At 44.2% G+C, this 15,123-nt stretch overlaps 1 annotated feature.

The window, feature by feature from the left end:
• Positions 6,311-7,510: an enhancer, noted in NCBI's record as "BRD4-independent group 4 enhancer chr18:76610953-76612152 (GRCh37/hg19 assembly coordinates)". NCBI's record gives its function as "activates an origin of replication core promoter dependent on BRD2, P300/CBP, MED14 and CDK7 cofactors, and independent of BRD4, by STARR-seq in HCT116 cells {active_cell/tissue: HCT116}" and the evidence as "EXISTENCE:reporter gene assay evidence [ECO:0000049][PMID:35650434]".

The following is a 15,123-nucleotide window of genomic DNA, read 5'->3' as shown; positions in this document are numbered from 1 at the left end:
AAAAAAGTTTTTTGCTTTCTCTTTCTGAAGCCAAACGATCACAGATTCTCAACTTAATTTGGCAATAAGACTGTAGCTCATAACTGGGGTTCAACGTGGGGTGGCCTTTGTTACTCAGAGTTCTTCAAAGAGACTCTCCTGGCACCGGGAGGTTGTTCGAGGCCATGCATTCTGGTTCTTACTAATCTGCTGAACTGGAATGAGTAGTTCTGAATCCCTTTACAATCTGACACTTCACCCGGGAAATCACACAGCCTCTTTTTAGAGGCTTTAATTCCTACCCACTGGAATCCACGGGCAACGGTGAGTTGAGAATGGTGTTTCTTTTATTTTAACTCCAAAAATAATCTGCCCTGGTAGCAAATGGGATGCTTTCGCCACTCCTCACGTAAGGTCGAAAGTTAGCAGCTGCTTTTGACTGTTGTGTGAGGCCGAGGGACCGCCGAGGACACGCCCCGAGGAGCCTGGGTCCCGCTCTTGAGTGCAGTGGGCTCTGGAGAGGAGGAGGAGGTGTGGATAGGAGAGCAACTCACCTTCGTCTCTCTGTCAGTGATGAAAACACATGAAGCTTGCCCTTTTGTAATGTCAACAGAAAATTATGCCTCCAACACAAACCCAGGCCATTAAGGAGGCGGCTTTTATTCCTGCTCATAACGTGGGGAACAGAAGGCGGGGCACCATGCGCCTCCCCAGCTGTTGCCGGGGAAGCCGGCGCGGAGCCGGCCGCATCTGGATGGCGTCTTTGAAGAGGCATTAATCTGTGGCTGAGGGACGCTAAGCCTCTCTGCTTTTCTTTGCTGCTTCTCAGGCTAATGCTGCTTCTGCAAAGCTGTAGCGACTTCATGTCCACGGGGGAGATGAAGGAACAATTACAGACGGTGATACCAAGATGCATTTGGGCAAAAATAAAGGGCAGGACAGAAGCGCTGTGCCTTGATCAGTCCGGCAGAAGATTCGCTTTTCCCCGCCTGAAAGGTGCCGCCCAGCTGGCAGCGCAATGGCAGGAGCCCGGGCTACGCGAGCGCGGGGTGGATGTTGGAGGGGAAGGCCGGGAGCTGGCTCCGTGGAAAAGGCTCCTGCGTGTCTCGGAACATGTTGCTGGGTCGGTGGATTTCGCTGCTCATTTTTGTGGATGAAACATGCATGTTACATTACATAAGGGATCAGGTGGAAGAATGAACAGGTTGGCTTAAGCACACGTCCTGGCTGGTGCTCGGAGAGTGGGCATTTCTTTCTGCCACACTGAGGAGCTGCCTCCTCAGACGGACGTGACATGACTTTCTCGGCTTCTCACTGTCACAGCGCGAGAGGCGGGGGCCTGAGACCCGACGCTGCCCAGGTCACAGCAGCGGGCGGCGTGCCGGCAGGTGCGCGCCTGTTAGACCCGGCGTGAGTGTAGTTTAACAACGAATCTGCAGGCTGCCTGCCGTCATGCACGTGGCCATCGCTTCAGCTTTGCTCCTTTCCAGGTTTCGGGATGCTCGGGGTGAATGGGGAGGCGGCCGCCCCAAGGGAGGACCCAGGCAGCGTCGGCCTCCCGCTTGGGGTCCCTTCCCAGACCCTCGCCTGAACGAGTGGGACAGCTCCTGCCCCCCAGCGCGTCCCCAGGCTCCGGGATGGTCACTGTCCAGGAGGCGCTTGGCCCTGCTCACCCGCCCGTTCTGCCCATCCCTTGAGAACTCCGCGATTTCGAAACTTTCCTGATCTTTCTGCCGGAAGTAATTTGTTCTACGTGAAACCACGGGCCACTCCTTCATATCTGTAGAGCGCTCTACCTTCTGTAACGTTTATCTGCGAAACTGCTGCGTTAGGCCAGGAGCACTCCAAGAGCGAGAGGCAGACGCCGTCTGACTTTTCACCCTGACAGGGGACTTTTCCACCTGGCAGTGCCAATATCCGGCTCCTACGCATTCTCCATGGAGGATCACCAGGTCAGCCCATGGGAGGGAGGCAGGAAGGGTGACCTTGCCCGTGAGGCTTAGTGGAAAGAATGATGAAGGGCTGCAGGTGGCTCCTTGAGGGTCCCCGAAAACTTCCTCTGGGGTAGGGTAGGAAGGTGGTCAGGGAAGCCTGAAAGGCAGTTTCAGCTTCAGTTCTTCAGCTCCTTGTGGGAACAACCCCAGCAGAAATAAACACTGTGCTTTGGGTTAAAAGATAAAATCATGAGGACTTGACCAAAAACAGGATTTCACGGGCTTTCGTCCCCCTGTTGCAATGACACTGATGCTCTCTGGAAGGGACCCTTAGTGTCAGGACTTCCTCCAGTGGGTGATTGTGGGGAGTAAGCCCAATAACCAGTTAGCACTTCCTCCAGTGGGTGACGATGGGGAGTAAGCCCAATAACTAGTGAGCACTTCCTCCAGTGGGTGACGATGGGGAGTAAGCCCAATAACTAGTGAGCACTTCCTCCAGTGAGCAGTGAGCACTTCCTCCAGTGGGTGACGATGGGGAGTAAGCCCAATAACTAGTGAGCACTTCCTCCAGTGGGTGACGATGGGGAGTAAGCCCAATAACTAGTGAGCACTTCCTCCAGTGGGTGACGATGGGGAGTAAGCCCAATAACTAGTGAGCACTTCCTCCAGTGAGCAGTGAGCACTTCCTCCAGTGGGTGACGATGGGGAGTAAGACCAATAACCAGTGAGCACTTCCTCCAGTGGGTGACGATGGGGAGTAAGCCCAATAACCAGTTAGCACTTCCCCCAGTGGGTGACGATGGGGAGTAAGCCCAATAACCAGTTAGCACTTCCTCCAGTGGGTGATGATGGGGAGTAAGCCCAATAACCAGTTAGCAATTCCCCCAGTGGGTGATGATGGGGAGTAAGCCCAATAACCAGTTAGCACTTCCCCCAGTGGGTGACGATGGGGAGTAAGCCCAATAACCAGTTAGCACTTCCCCCAGTGGGTGATGATGGGGAGTAAGCCCAATAACTAGTGAGCACTTCCCCCAGTGGGTGATGATGGGGAGTAAGCCCAATAACTAGTGAGCACTTCCTCCAGTGGGTGACGATGGGGAGTAAGCACAATAACTAGTTAGCACTTCCTCTTCACCGGGTGATGACCGGCGAGAAAGCCCCCTGTTTATTCAGCACTTCCTCCCCAGTGGATGGTGGTCATGGAGTAAGCCCACTGGTTAGTTAGCACTTCCTTTCCAGTGGGTGATGATGGGGGATTATTTTAACTGGTTAGTTAGCACTTGCTCCTCAGTGGGTGATGATGGAGTAAACCCACTGGCTAGTTAGCCCTCCTTCTCCAGTAGGTGATGATGAAGTTAGCCCACCAGTTAGTTAGCACTGCCTCTTTAGTGGGTGATGATGATTGAATAAGCCCACTGGTTATTTAGCACTTTCTCCTTAGTTGGTGATGATTATGGAGTTAGCCCACTGGCTAGTTAGCCCTTCCTCTCCAGTGCATGTGGATGAGGGAGTAAGCCCAGTCATTAGCACTTTCTCCCCAGTGGGTGATGATGTGGGAGTAAGCACACTGCTTAGTAAGCACTTCTTCCCCAGTGGATGACCATGAAGGAGTAAGTTCACTGGTTAGTTAGCACTTTCTACCCAGTGTGTGACGATGAAAGAGTAAGTCCAGTAGTTAGTTAGCACTTCCCCTTCAGTGGGTGATGATGGGAGAGTAAGCTCACCGGTTAGTTAGCACTTTCTCCTTAGCTGGTAATGATTATGGAGTTAGCTGTCTGGTCAGTTAGCACTTCCTCTCCAATGGGTGAGGATGGCATAAGCCCACTGGTTAGTTAGCACTTCTTCCACTGTGGGTGATGATAGGAGAGAAAGCCGACTGGTTAGTTAGCACTTTCTCTTCAGTGGGTGATGATGGGGGAGGAAGCCCACTGGTTATTTAACACTTCTTCACCAGTGGGTGATGGTGGGGGAGGAAGCCCACTGGTTATTTAGCACTTCTTCACCAGTGGGTGATGGTGGGGGAGGAAGCCTATTGGTTATTTAACACTTCTTCCCCAGTGGGTGATGATGGGGGAGGAAGCCCACTGGTTATTTAACACTTCTTCACCAGTGGGTGATGGTGGGGGAGGAAGCCCACTGGTTATTTAGCACTTCTTCACCAGTGGGTGATGGTGGGGGAGGAAGCCTATTGGTTATTTAACACTTCTTCCCCAGTGGGTGATGATGGGGGAGGAAGCCCACTGGTTAGAGGCACTTTGGAAAGCTATGATGGTTATTTCCACCATTCTTTAGCACAACATAGCTTTCCTTTGATAGTAGACATTTTCAGGCCATTAATTCCTCATGCAGAGTAACTGCTGTTCCGGATTTGAAGAGTGGGCTAGAAAAGGATTCTTCCTTCTTGGAGGAATGGGATTCAAGTTATGTTTGCTGCACCCTGTGCTTGCTGGGTGTGGGAACAGCAACTGCTTGGAATGGGATGGGCACAGCTTGAAATGGCAGGTTGTGTTCTTCTTTTCCTTCCTTCCTGTCTTTCTTCCTTCTTTGTTCCTTTCTTCCTTGTTCCCTTTGATAAATGTTGATTCAGGACTCTTGGTGTGCCAGGCACTGTGCTAGGCACCTGTGATCCAGGTAGATCCCATCCTGTTCTCATGGAGCTCAGAGTTTGGTGATGATAAAGGCCCAGAAATGAAAACATGCAGTAGGCAAGTGTGCAGGGGAAACATTGTGTGGCCTGGCTCAACAGCCCCCAGGAAAAAGCATCTTAAACAAGATGTTCTTGGTGGTCTCTATGGACTCTTAGATTCTAACATTGTACGAAACAAATAAAAAGGGGAAATTTACATAGTGTAAGCTTTTATGCCTTCCATTTTGAGGCATGACTCAAAATGCTTTTCCAGGGCAGAGGAGAAAAGCTGGAGGGGTCTGCCTGGTGGTGGTGGGATGGGAAGCGCATGTGGGAGGAGGCAGAGCTGGCAACCCTGGAGTGGACTCCTGGCAAGGAAGGGATGAGTACTTCTGCTGAGAGGCAAGAAAGGGCTCAGCCAGGGGGAGGCAGTGGGGCCTGAAGTGAAAAGAGAGGATGTGTGGAGAGGGAGTTCCCTGGAGGGAGAGGGGGATGTCGTTTCTAAGTGGTCTTGAAGTTGGAAGGAACAATGCTTTCAAGAGAAAGACCTTTATCAAGAGAAGGCATTCACCTTTGGGAATACTGGCTGAGGACAGGCTCTGCGTCATCCAGGAAGGGGCTGGAGGAATGTGGCCAGTGTGTGAGAGACCAACCAGGGCTATAGGCACAGGCTGGGAGTATTTGAATTTATTGTCCGATTCATGCCTTTGACTTAACACTTGACTCGCCTTGGCACATAACAGGTGGAGATTTTTGAGACAGAAAGACTAGGCTAGAGGAAGTTGCTGAGATCAGAGGAAGCCAGGCCCTCTTCAAGCCACGCCTCCTCTGAGATGCCTCAGAACTAAGTGCGTTTTGCTTTGTCCTTTGTCTCTCTCCCAGCTTTGTGCTACCTGGACTTGCATTGTGAGTTAGTCATTCCTTCTAGTGTATGGACACTGGAGGGGAAGGATGTATAATTCTCATTTGTATTCTTCCATTGCATAGTCCAGTGCCCTTTACACGGTGAAAAACGTGAATACAAGCCATCAGTAGAAAAAGAAGACCCTCTGAAACAGGAATTTCCAAGACAGTGCATTGAGGAAGTCCAAGGAGGAAAGGATGGGGAATAGAAGACAGCAGCGAACAGGACTGGGGACTGTCACAGGAGCCAGAGAAAGGGCTGATTCTAAGAGGAAGGAGACACCAAAAATGTAAAAGGGTGCAAAAATACTGGAGAGAGGAGGCCTTTATGATGGCCACTGGGTGGGGGCATTGGCAGCCACCAAGGCCTCTGAGAGAGCAGAAAATGTGGTTCCACCAAACACTCTTCTGGAACCTGCTCTTTTTTTTGTAAGGTGAGCTGAGCACTTAGAAGGATCTTCCTAAAATATCCCCTTATGAAAGATTTCTAATAACCCTTTCTCTCTGTCATCTTCATTAACCACTAATTTTAAATTTTTAAATTTTTAATTTTTATTGTGGTAAGAGAAACACATAACATGAAGTTGCCCTCATACTAGATGTTTGCAACATGGCATAGTATTGCTAATTACATACATGGGGCTGTACAGCACGCCTCCAGGGCTCTTCCATCTCACGTGGCTGAAACTCTCCACGTTCCTCCCCCAACCCCTGGCAACCACTATTCTAGTCTCTGTGTCTATAAGTTTGACTGTTTTAGAGACCTCATATAGGTAGACTCATACAGTATTTGTCATTTTGTGACTGGCTTATTTCACTTAGTATAATGTCCTCAAGGTTAATCTGTATTGTAGCATGTGACAGGGTGCCCCTTTTAAAAGGTGGAATGATATTCCATTATTTGTGTATACACTTTCTTTATCCATTCACTTCCCAGTGGCCATTTAGATTGCCTCCACCTCTTGGCCATTGCATATAATGCTGCAATGAACACAGTGTAGATACTTCTTGGAGATCCTGTTTTCATTTTTTTTTCTGATGAATACTTAGAAGTGGGATTGCTGGAGCATATGGCAGTTCTGTTTTTAAGGCTTTGAGGAACCTCCATGCTGTTTTCCATAGTGGGTGAACCATTTTACATTCCACAGCAGGTGCACCATTTTATATTGCATAGTGGGTGCACCATTTTACATTCCATAGCAGGTGAACAATTTTACATTCCATAGTGGGTGAACCATTTTACATTTCATAGTGGGTGCACCATTTTACATTCCATAGCAAGTGAACCATTTTACATTCCATAGCGGGTGAACAATTTTACATTCCATAGTGGGTGAACCATTTTACATTCCATAGTGGGTGAACCATTTTACATTCCATAGTGGGTGAACCATTTTACATTCCATAGCGGGTGAACAATTTTACATTCTATAGCGGGTGAACCATTTTACATTCCATAGTGGGTGCACCATTTTACATTCCATAGCAAGTGAACCATTTTACATTCCATAGCGGGTGAACAATTTTACATTCCATAGCGGGTGAACCATTTTACATTCCATAGCGGGTGAACCATTTTACATTCCATAGTGGGTGAACCATTTTACATTCCATAGCGGGTGAACCATTTTACATTCCATAGCGGGTGAACCATTTTACATTCCATAGCGGGTGAACCATTTTACATTCCATAATGGGTGAACCATTTTACATTTCATAGCGGGTGAACTATTTTACATTCCATAGCGGGTGAACCATTTTACATTCCATAGCGGGTGAACCATTTTACATTCCATAGCAGGTGAACCATTTTATATTCCATAGCGGGTGCACCATTTTATATTGCATAGTGAGTGAACCATTTTACATTCCATAATGGGTGAACCATTTTACATTTCATAGCGGGTGAACAATTTTACATTCCATAGCGGGTGAACAATTTTACATTCCATAGCGGGTGAACCATTTTACATTCCATAATGGGTGAACCATTTTACATTCCACAGCAGGTGCACCATTTTACATTCCATAGCGGGTGCACCATTTTACGTTCCTGCCAACAGTGCACAGTGGCTTCAATATCTCCTCCTCCTCACCAACACTTGCTACCTTCTGTTTCTTGATAATGGCCATCTTAGTAGGTGTGAGGCTTATCTTACACCATACACAAAAATAAACTCAAAATGGATTAAAGGCGTAGCATAAGACCTGAAAGTATAAAACTTCTAGAAGAAAACAGGAGAAAAACTCTGTTGCATTGGTCTTGGTAGTGACTTCTTGGATAAGTCCTAAAAGCACAGGCAGTGAAAGCAAAAAGAGACAAGCAGGATTGCATCAAACCCAAAAGCCTCTGTGCAGCAAAGGAGGCAACGAGCAGAGTGAAAAGGTGACCTATGGACTTGGAGAAAGTGTCTGCAAACCATGTGATATGGTTTGGCTGTGTCCCCACCCAAATCTCATCTTGAATTCCCACCTGTTGTGGGAGGGATCTGTTGGGAGGTAATTGAATCATGGGGGTGGGTCTTTCTGTGCTATTCTTGTGATAGTGAATGAGTCTCATGAGATCTGATGGTTTTATAAAAATGGGAGTTTCCCTGCACAAGCTCTCTTCTCTTGTCTGCTGCCATGTGAGATGTGCCTTTCACCTTCCACCATGATTGTGAGGCCTCCCCAGCCATGTGGAACTGTAAGTCCAATAAACCTCTTTCTTTTGTAAATGCCCTGTCTCGAGTATGTCTTTATCAGCAGCATGAAAATGGACTAATACACTATACATCTGACCAGGGGTTAATATTCCAAATACACAAGGAACTCCTACAACTCAACAATAGCAACAACAACAACAAAAACAAACCCAAGCAATCTGATTAAAAATGGCAGAAAGACTTGAGGATAGTTGTTTCTTCAAAGAAGACATACAATTGGCCAACGGGTACCTGAAAAGATGCTAATCCTCAGGGAAATGGAAATAAAAAACACAACTTTAAAGAAGAAAAAGGGGAGAAGGAGCAGCAAATACAAACCCTTCCTGCCCCCAAGGCTCCTGGGGCTGTAGCTCATCACACAGAGGCTTCCGGACAGCTCTGTGCACCAGAAACACAATGGCAGCCACACACACAGCCACAGCTGTCATTTAAAAATTTCTAGTAGCAATGAGAAGAAAGTAAAAAAAGGCAGGTAAAAAATAATTTTAATAGAGTATTTTATTTAACCCAAAATATGGTTGCTGTACCATATGATCAATATAGAAGCTATTAGTGAGATAGTTTGCAACTTCTTTCTGCTGATTCTTTGAACTCTGAGGTGCAATGAATGCCTAAGGACAGGCCTCAGTGTGGAGCAGCCACGTGTCCATGCTCAGCAGCCACGTGTGGCCAGCAGGGCCCCCAGTGGACAGTCAGCTGTGGAGATGACTGGAAATCCATGTTATCCCTGGGATCCAGGTGGTGTCTTTATGTTACAAAAGTAGCCTTTTTCCTTCCTTCCTTCCTCCCTTCCTTCCTTCCTGCCTTCCTGTCTTCCTCCTTTCCTGCCTTATTGCCTTCCTTCTTTCCTGCCTTCCTTCCTTCCCATGTTCTAGCCTTCCCACCTTCCTGCCTTCCTTCCTCTTGTCCTTTCTTTCGGCTGCAAATGTTTACTGATGATCTGTTAGGTGCCTGGGTCTGAGCTGAGGAACTGGGAAAGGTAAGCTGAAGCTCTTCCCTGCTAGGGCATATGGCTCATCTGGGAGACACAGAAGCAAATGCTCCTAATAGGACAGGGTAATTATTACAATAGAGAAAAATCACAGTACGGAGGGCAGGCTTGAACTGGGCCTTGAAGCTTGAGTAGGAGTTCACCTGGCAGTCGGGGTTGAGGGGGCTGGACTCTAGGAAAGGGGCCAACACATGGGGTGTTAGGGAGGAAGAGGAGTGTTTAGGAAGGCGCGTGGCTCCTCACCAGCTGTGTTAGTGTCAAGGAACTGATGTTCTGCACTAGAAGTTGAGGCACTGGCTCCAGAGTTGAGCTGCTTCTGTATCTAGACATTTCAATATGAATTTAAATTTATACCTCATTGTAGGTCAATATTTTACTGAGATTTTGATGAAAAATAATTATTCTACACTCTTGATTATTGAAATGACGGTTATGCTCATTGTAGGTGATTAACTGAGACATGAGAATGAGTATTTTATATCAAAACCATAGTTACTAATTTAGGTAAAATCTGTTTGTAGAACTGCCCTTAGAAATCAGTGGATGTTCTGTAAGAGCAGTTGATCCCCACTGAGCATCTATTTGAAGCCCAGCAGCTTGAGGCCTTGGTCTAGTTACTACGGATACAAAGATGTTGATGGCAGTTTTTCTCCAGCTGGTGGGATGATGTGGGAGCCGGAGGTTACAGCGAGTAACCTTGTCAGGGCCTGGTGCTTTGGGTGTGAATCTCGGTGGGGCTTTTTGTTGGAGGTGCTGGGAGCCGTGTGCTCAGAGCTGTGTTAGGTGGGTCATCTGCTGGTGTGCAGCATGGAGAGGTTAGAGAAGAAAAGAGTAGTTCCATCTTTGTATTAAGTGAAAATTAGTTTTTTGAAGTGAAGCCTAGAGAGAAATTCCCTCCATTTCTGTCCAAAGAGGCTACCATTATCCAATGTTTTTACAGCAAAGGGAAATCACTTATGAATATTTTGCCCAGGGTGAATGTAAAGCAGTACAAGTGAAATATAAAACAATTTCAGCTCTTCCAGGAATCAAAATCAATTTTCCTGATTCCTAGATCTGTGCCATGTTTTTTAGAAATTATTTTTAAAATTCACTAGGCCAATAGCTTAATTTTAATCTATAACATGTAGCATAAAAAAGTGATGTCCTGCCATTATGTTCAAAATTCAGTGGCATTCTTTGATTCGGGCCTTTTCCACTTAAGTGTTGTAACCCAGCCTTTTTTGCTCAGGGTAGCTGTGAGGATTTCACCACTACCTGGCCAGTCTCGGCCACACTGACCTGGATGACAACCTGACCCTTCCTTGTAAGATATCAGAGGTCTGTCTCACTTCACCCAGCATGTCTAAAACTGATCTCCAAATTTTCCCCAGGTCAGATTTCTTTATGAGCCAGAAAGCATTTTTCCCACTCTTAGTCACTTCTTCTCACAGTCTCTCTACATTTTACCAGTCCTTTCAAGTCCTCATTAATCCATTTCTCTTCTCCGATCCTTTGGTCCTGTGGCCTCTGCATCAGTCCTGAACCTGGCCTGCCATCCTTCTTGCCTGTGAAATCAGCATTTCAAAGCTGTGGGAACTTGTGCTGCGATTTTGTCCAGCGTTTCTGGTAAGATAAAAACTGCAGACTGCCCTCGCCACTGTGGCCATGGTCTGAGGAGAAGGTTCTAGCAAGGATCCCGTAGATGTCAAAGTGGAGCCCGGGAGAGTCCACTACTCTGTTCATACTTAAACCTCTTCTTTTTCAAGCAGGGTAAACAGGAATAAATATGGGGCCTCTGGGAAGATTCCGTAACTGAAAGGATGGAGAACGTGCACACGAGATGCAAAGGAGTGGGACGGGGCAGGCTCTGGCTTTGCTATGCGTGCGACCTTGGTAACGAGGATGCCCCTGACTTCACATGGGGCTGTATGGGGAATAAATGGTTAATGTGGGAGGAGTGGCTCAAACCATGCTCCACGTGGAGTTGGTGGGCTTAACAGACACACACTATCAGCCTTCCTCATGGTTGCTGTTGGTTTTACTATTATATGTTAATAAGGACTTTACTGTAGGAAATGAAAAGATTTATGAAGTATTCTCTTCATATTCTCAATACTCAGGACTCTAAATTCAGAGAGTCAAGATGGGATAAGGAGAAAAGAGAATGGAGATATCTTGGAGGAAGCTTTAAAAGAGTAGGTATGGGAATCCATTAAAATATTAATTAAACAAAGTGATAATTGCAAAATTTAAGACAATCTTAGAAGCAATAAAAAAGGTTACATTCTACAGAAAATCAAGTTAGAGATGAGTGGGACAATCTAATAGTTTCTTCTAGAAAAAATAAACTTCATACAAATAAAATAAATTTTTATCCTTGCTCATTGGAAAGAAAAGCTATAATGGAAGACATAATTTAATTTTAGTTTTCTGAATACAATACTCACCTTCAGATTGAATCAGCTCATTTTATACAACAAGGTGAAGCCAATGGCCAGATCTGGTCATGTGAAAAAATTTGATTATAAAGGTAGAATCCAAAAACCTCCAGGCAGAAAAAAACAGGAAAGCTACAAAGGAAAAAATAGCACACCTGTCTTGGACTTCTCCACATGTCTAGGGAAAGAATGGAGCAATCTCTATAAAATATTGAGAAAAAGAGTAAAGCAAGCAGTGGGGGCATCTATAGAGCACTGTTCTCAAGAGCTCTATAACTAGCCTAACAGTTTTGAATGAATTCAACATAATTGTTGAATGTATAGTCCATTCTCACACTGCTAATAAGGAAATACCCACGACTTGGTAACTGATAAAGGAAAAAGGTTTAATTGACTCACAGTGCCACAGGACTGGGGAGGCTTCAGGAAACTTACAATCATGGTGGAAGGGGAAGTAAACACATTATTCTTCACATGGTGGCAGGAAGGAGAAGGATGAGAACTGAGTGAACGGGGAAGCCTCTTACAAGACCATCAGATCTCCTGAGCGTTTACACACTGTCACCAGAATAGTATGAGGGAAACTGCCCCCGTGATTCAATTACCTCCCACCAGGTTCCTCCCACGACATGTTGAGATTATGGGAAATACAAATCAAGATGAGATTTGGGTGGGGACACAACCAAGCCATATCAATGAGTGCTGCTGAAGTGTGCTGGCTATGAACCTTTTCACAAACATTATTCTGTGGCAAAATGAAATATGAAAAATTTCCAGTGTAACAATACTTGTAATGAAGATAAAAATGAGTAGAACAACAAAAAATTAGGTCCGAAGAAGAGTTGAAAATATTTTTCTAAACTAACACAAATGGCTAAAATAATTTTTGAAAAAGAAGTTGCCAAATGAAACAAATATTAATAACATAGAAGGAGGATTCTGGGGAGATGACAGAGTAGGAAGCAATAGGAGTCCATCTCCCTTTAGACTGCGGTTGCACTGGCAAGATCTGGCTGATGTAACTATTTGGGACTCTAAAGTCTATTGAAGGCATGTAACTTCCAGGGGAAGGATGGTAGGATGGTAAATTGAGGTCAATTTCAGTCCATTTCAGCTCTTGGCACAATAGACACTACATATCCCTTATCTCCAGCCCCATGGCCAGCAGTCGTGAACATGTTTCTGAAGCAGCCTGCACACAGCTTACAGCAGCCAGGTGGGCAAAGGGACCCTGGCCTCCAAATATCTGGGATCTGTGCCTGGATTGAAGATTGCTGCTTCTAATTATAGAGACAGACAAAGAGGCAGGGGCCATTGTTGCACCTGCCCCAATTGACGCAAGCCCCTCCCCCTCCTTTAAATCCCTTGGAAGTCACTTCTGCTTCAAAATACTGACTTCCAGGGGATTTAAAGAGCTGGCATCTTTCCCCTCACCTTTATTTTTCTCGTTTTCTCCTTTTGGAACTCAGACATTAAAAACTAAGACATTCAAAAGTAACTGTGTATATGAAGAAAATTAGAAAGTGTGAGTGCCCAGGGAAAGGCACAGGCTCAGAAAAGAGCTGAGAAGACCTTAAGTTGAGACTTCAGGCTGATCGTTGGTGTGGAAGCAACCTAAAACAATAAAAAACAAAAACAGTACCAACAACAGCAAACCCTGGGGAAAGGGGATAATCTGATTTCCAGTTACCACATCATTAAATTCAAATGCCCAGCTTTTAACAAAAAAATTATGACATACAAAGAAACAGGAAAGTATAACCCATTCAAAGGCAAAAAATAAACCAACTGTTCAAGAGAAAGACCGGATGGTGGACCTACTAGATAAGGACTTTAAAATAGCTGTCTTAAAGATGCTCAAAGAACTAAAGGAAGATATAGAGAAAGTCAAGAACAAAATGAGTAAATAAAATGGAAATATCAATAGAGTTAGGAAACCTAAGAAAAAAAGAAATTCTGGAGGTGAAAAGTACAACAACTGAAATAAAAAGTTCACCAGAGAGAGAGAGAGAGATTCAAAAGCAAATTTGAGCAGGTAGAAGAAAGAGTCAGTGAAGGTCAATCGAAATGAAGATAGGACAATTGAAATTATTGAGTTTGAGGTAAAGAAAGAAAAGATACCAAAGAAAAGTGAATAGAGCCTAAGGAATGTGTAGCATGTTATCAAGTGAACCACCATAAGCTTTGTGGGAGTTCAGAAAGAGAAGAGAGAGAGAAAGGGAAAGAGAGATTATTTGAAGAAATAATAGCTGAAAATATCCCATGTTTGATGAAAGACACAAACATAAACATTCAAGAAACTCAATGAGCTCTAATTAGGATGGACATAAACAGACCCGAAAAGACACAATATATTCAAGCTTTTAAAAACCAAAGAGAGAATTTTAAAAGCAGCAAGAGAGAAGCAATTCATCACATACAAAAAATTTTTAATTAGATTATCAGCAGATTTCTTCTTATAACTTTGGAGGCCAGAAGGTAGTGGACTGATTAAGTGCTAAAAGAAAAATTTAAAAAAACACCAAAAACGTATCAACCAAGAATCTTATGTCGGTAAAACTGTCCTTCAAAAGTGAGGGAGAAATACAACATTCCCAGGTAAAGCTGAGGGAGTTCCTTACCACTAGAACTGTCCTACAAAAAACGCTAATGGGAGTCATGGAAGTTGAAAGAAGAGAACACTGGAGAGTAACTTGAAGTCATATAAACAAATGGAGATCTCAATAAAGATAAATACATGGGTAATTATAAAAACTAGTATCATTGTAAAAATGGTTTGTAATTCCATTTTTGTTTTATATATAATTTAAACAATTAATACATTAAAAGTTCTTGCCTAAAAGCTAGTATTATTGCAACTTTGGCTTATCACTCTACATTTTATTTTCTACATAATGTAAGAGATATTATGTATTATAAAAATAATTCTTAGTTTACATTTTTTGGCACACATTGTATAAATATGTATTTTGTGACATCAATAACTGAAAGGGTTGAAAATGAAAATACAACAGGAATGTATAACAATTACAAACATTTATGGACCTAATAATGGATTATCCTAATACATGAAGCAAAAATGGACAAAATTGAAAGAAGAAATAGATGGCTGTACTATACTAGTGGGGTATTGGAAACTTCGCTACTCCACTGTCAGTAATGCATAGAAGAGCCAGGCAGAAAATAAATAAAGAAATAGAGGACTTGGCCAACACAATAAACCAAATGGACCTATGAGACATAAACAGAGCAGTCTACTTAACAACATTGGAATACACATTCTTCTCAAGTGCAGGTGGAACATTTTCCAGAATAGACCACATGTTAGGCCACAAATTAAGTCTCAATAGGTTTAAAAAGATGGATATCATACAGAGTATCTTCTTTGATCACAACACAGTGGAGTTGGAAATCAATTACCAAAGAAAAACTGAAAAATTAAAAAATTTGTGAAAATCAAACAACATACTCTTAAACATCCAATGCATCAAAGATAAGATCTCAAAGAAAATTAGAAAATACTTAGAGATGAATGACAATGAAAAACACAACATAGCAAAACTTA

This window comes from Homo sapiens, chromosome 18, assembly GCF_000001405.40.
Source record: "Homo sapiens chromosome 18, GRCh38.p14 Primary Assembly".
Taxonomy (NCBI): Eukaryota; Metazoa; Chordata; class Mammalia; order Primates; family Hominidae; genus Homo; species Homo sapiens.
This window is presented reverse-complemented; position numbering and strand designations above follow the sequence as displayed.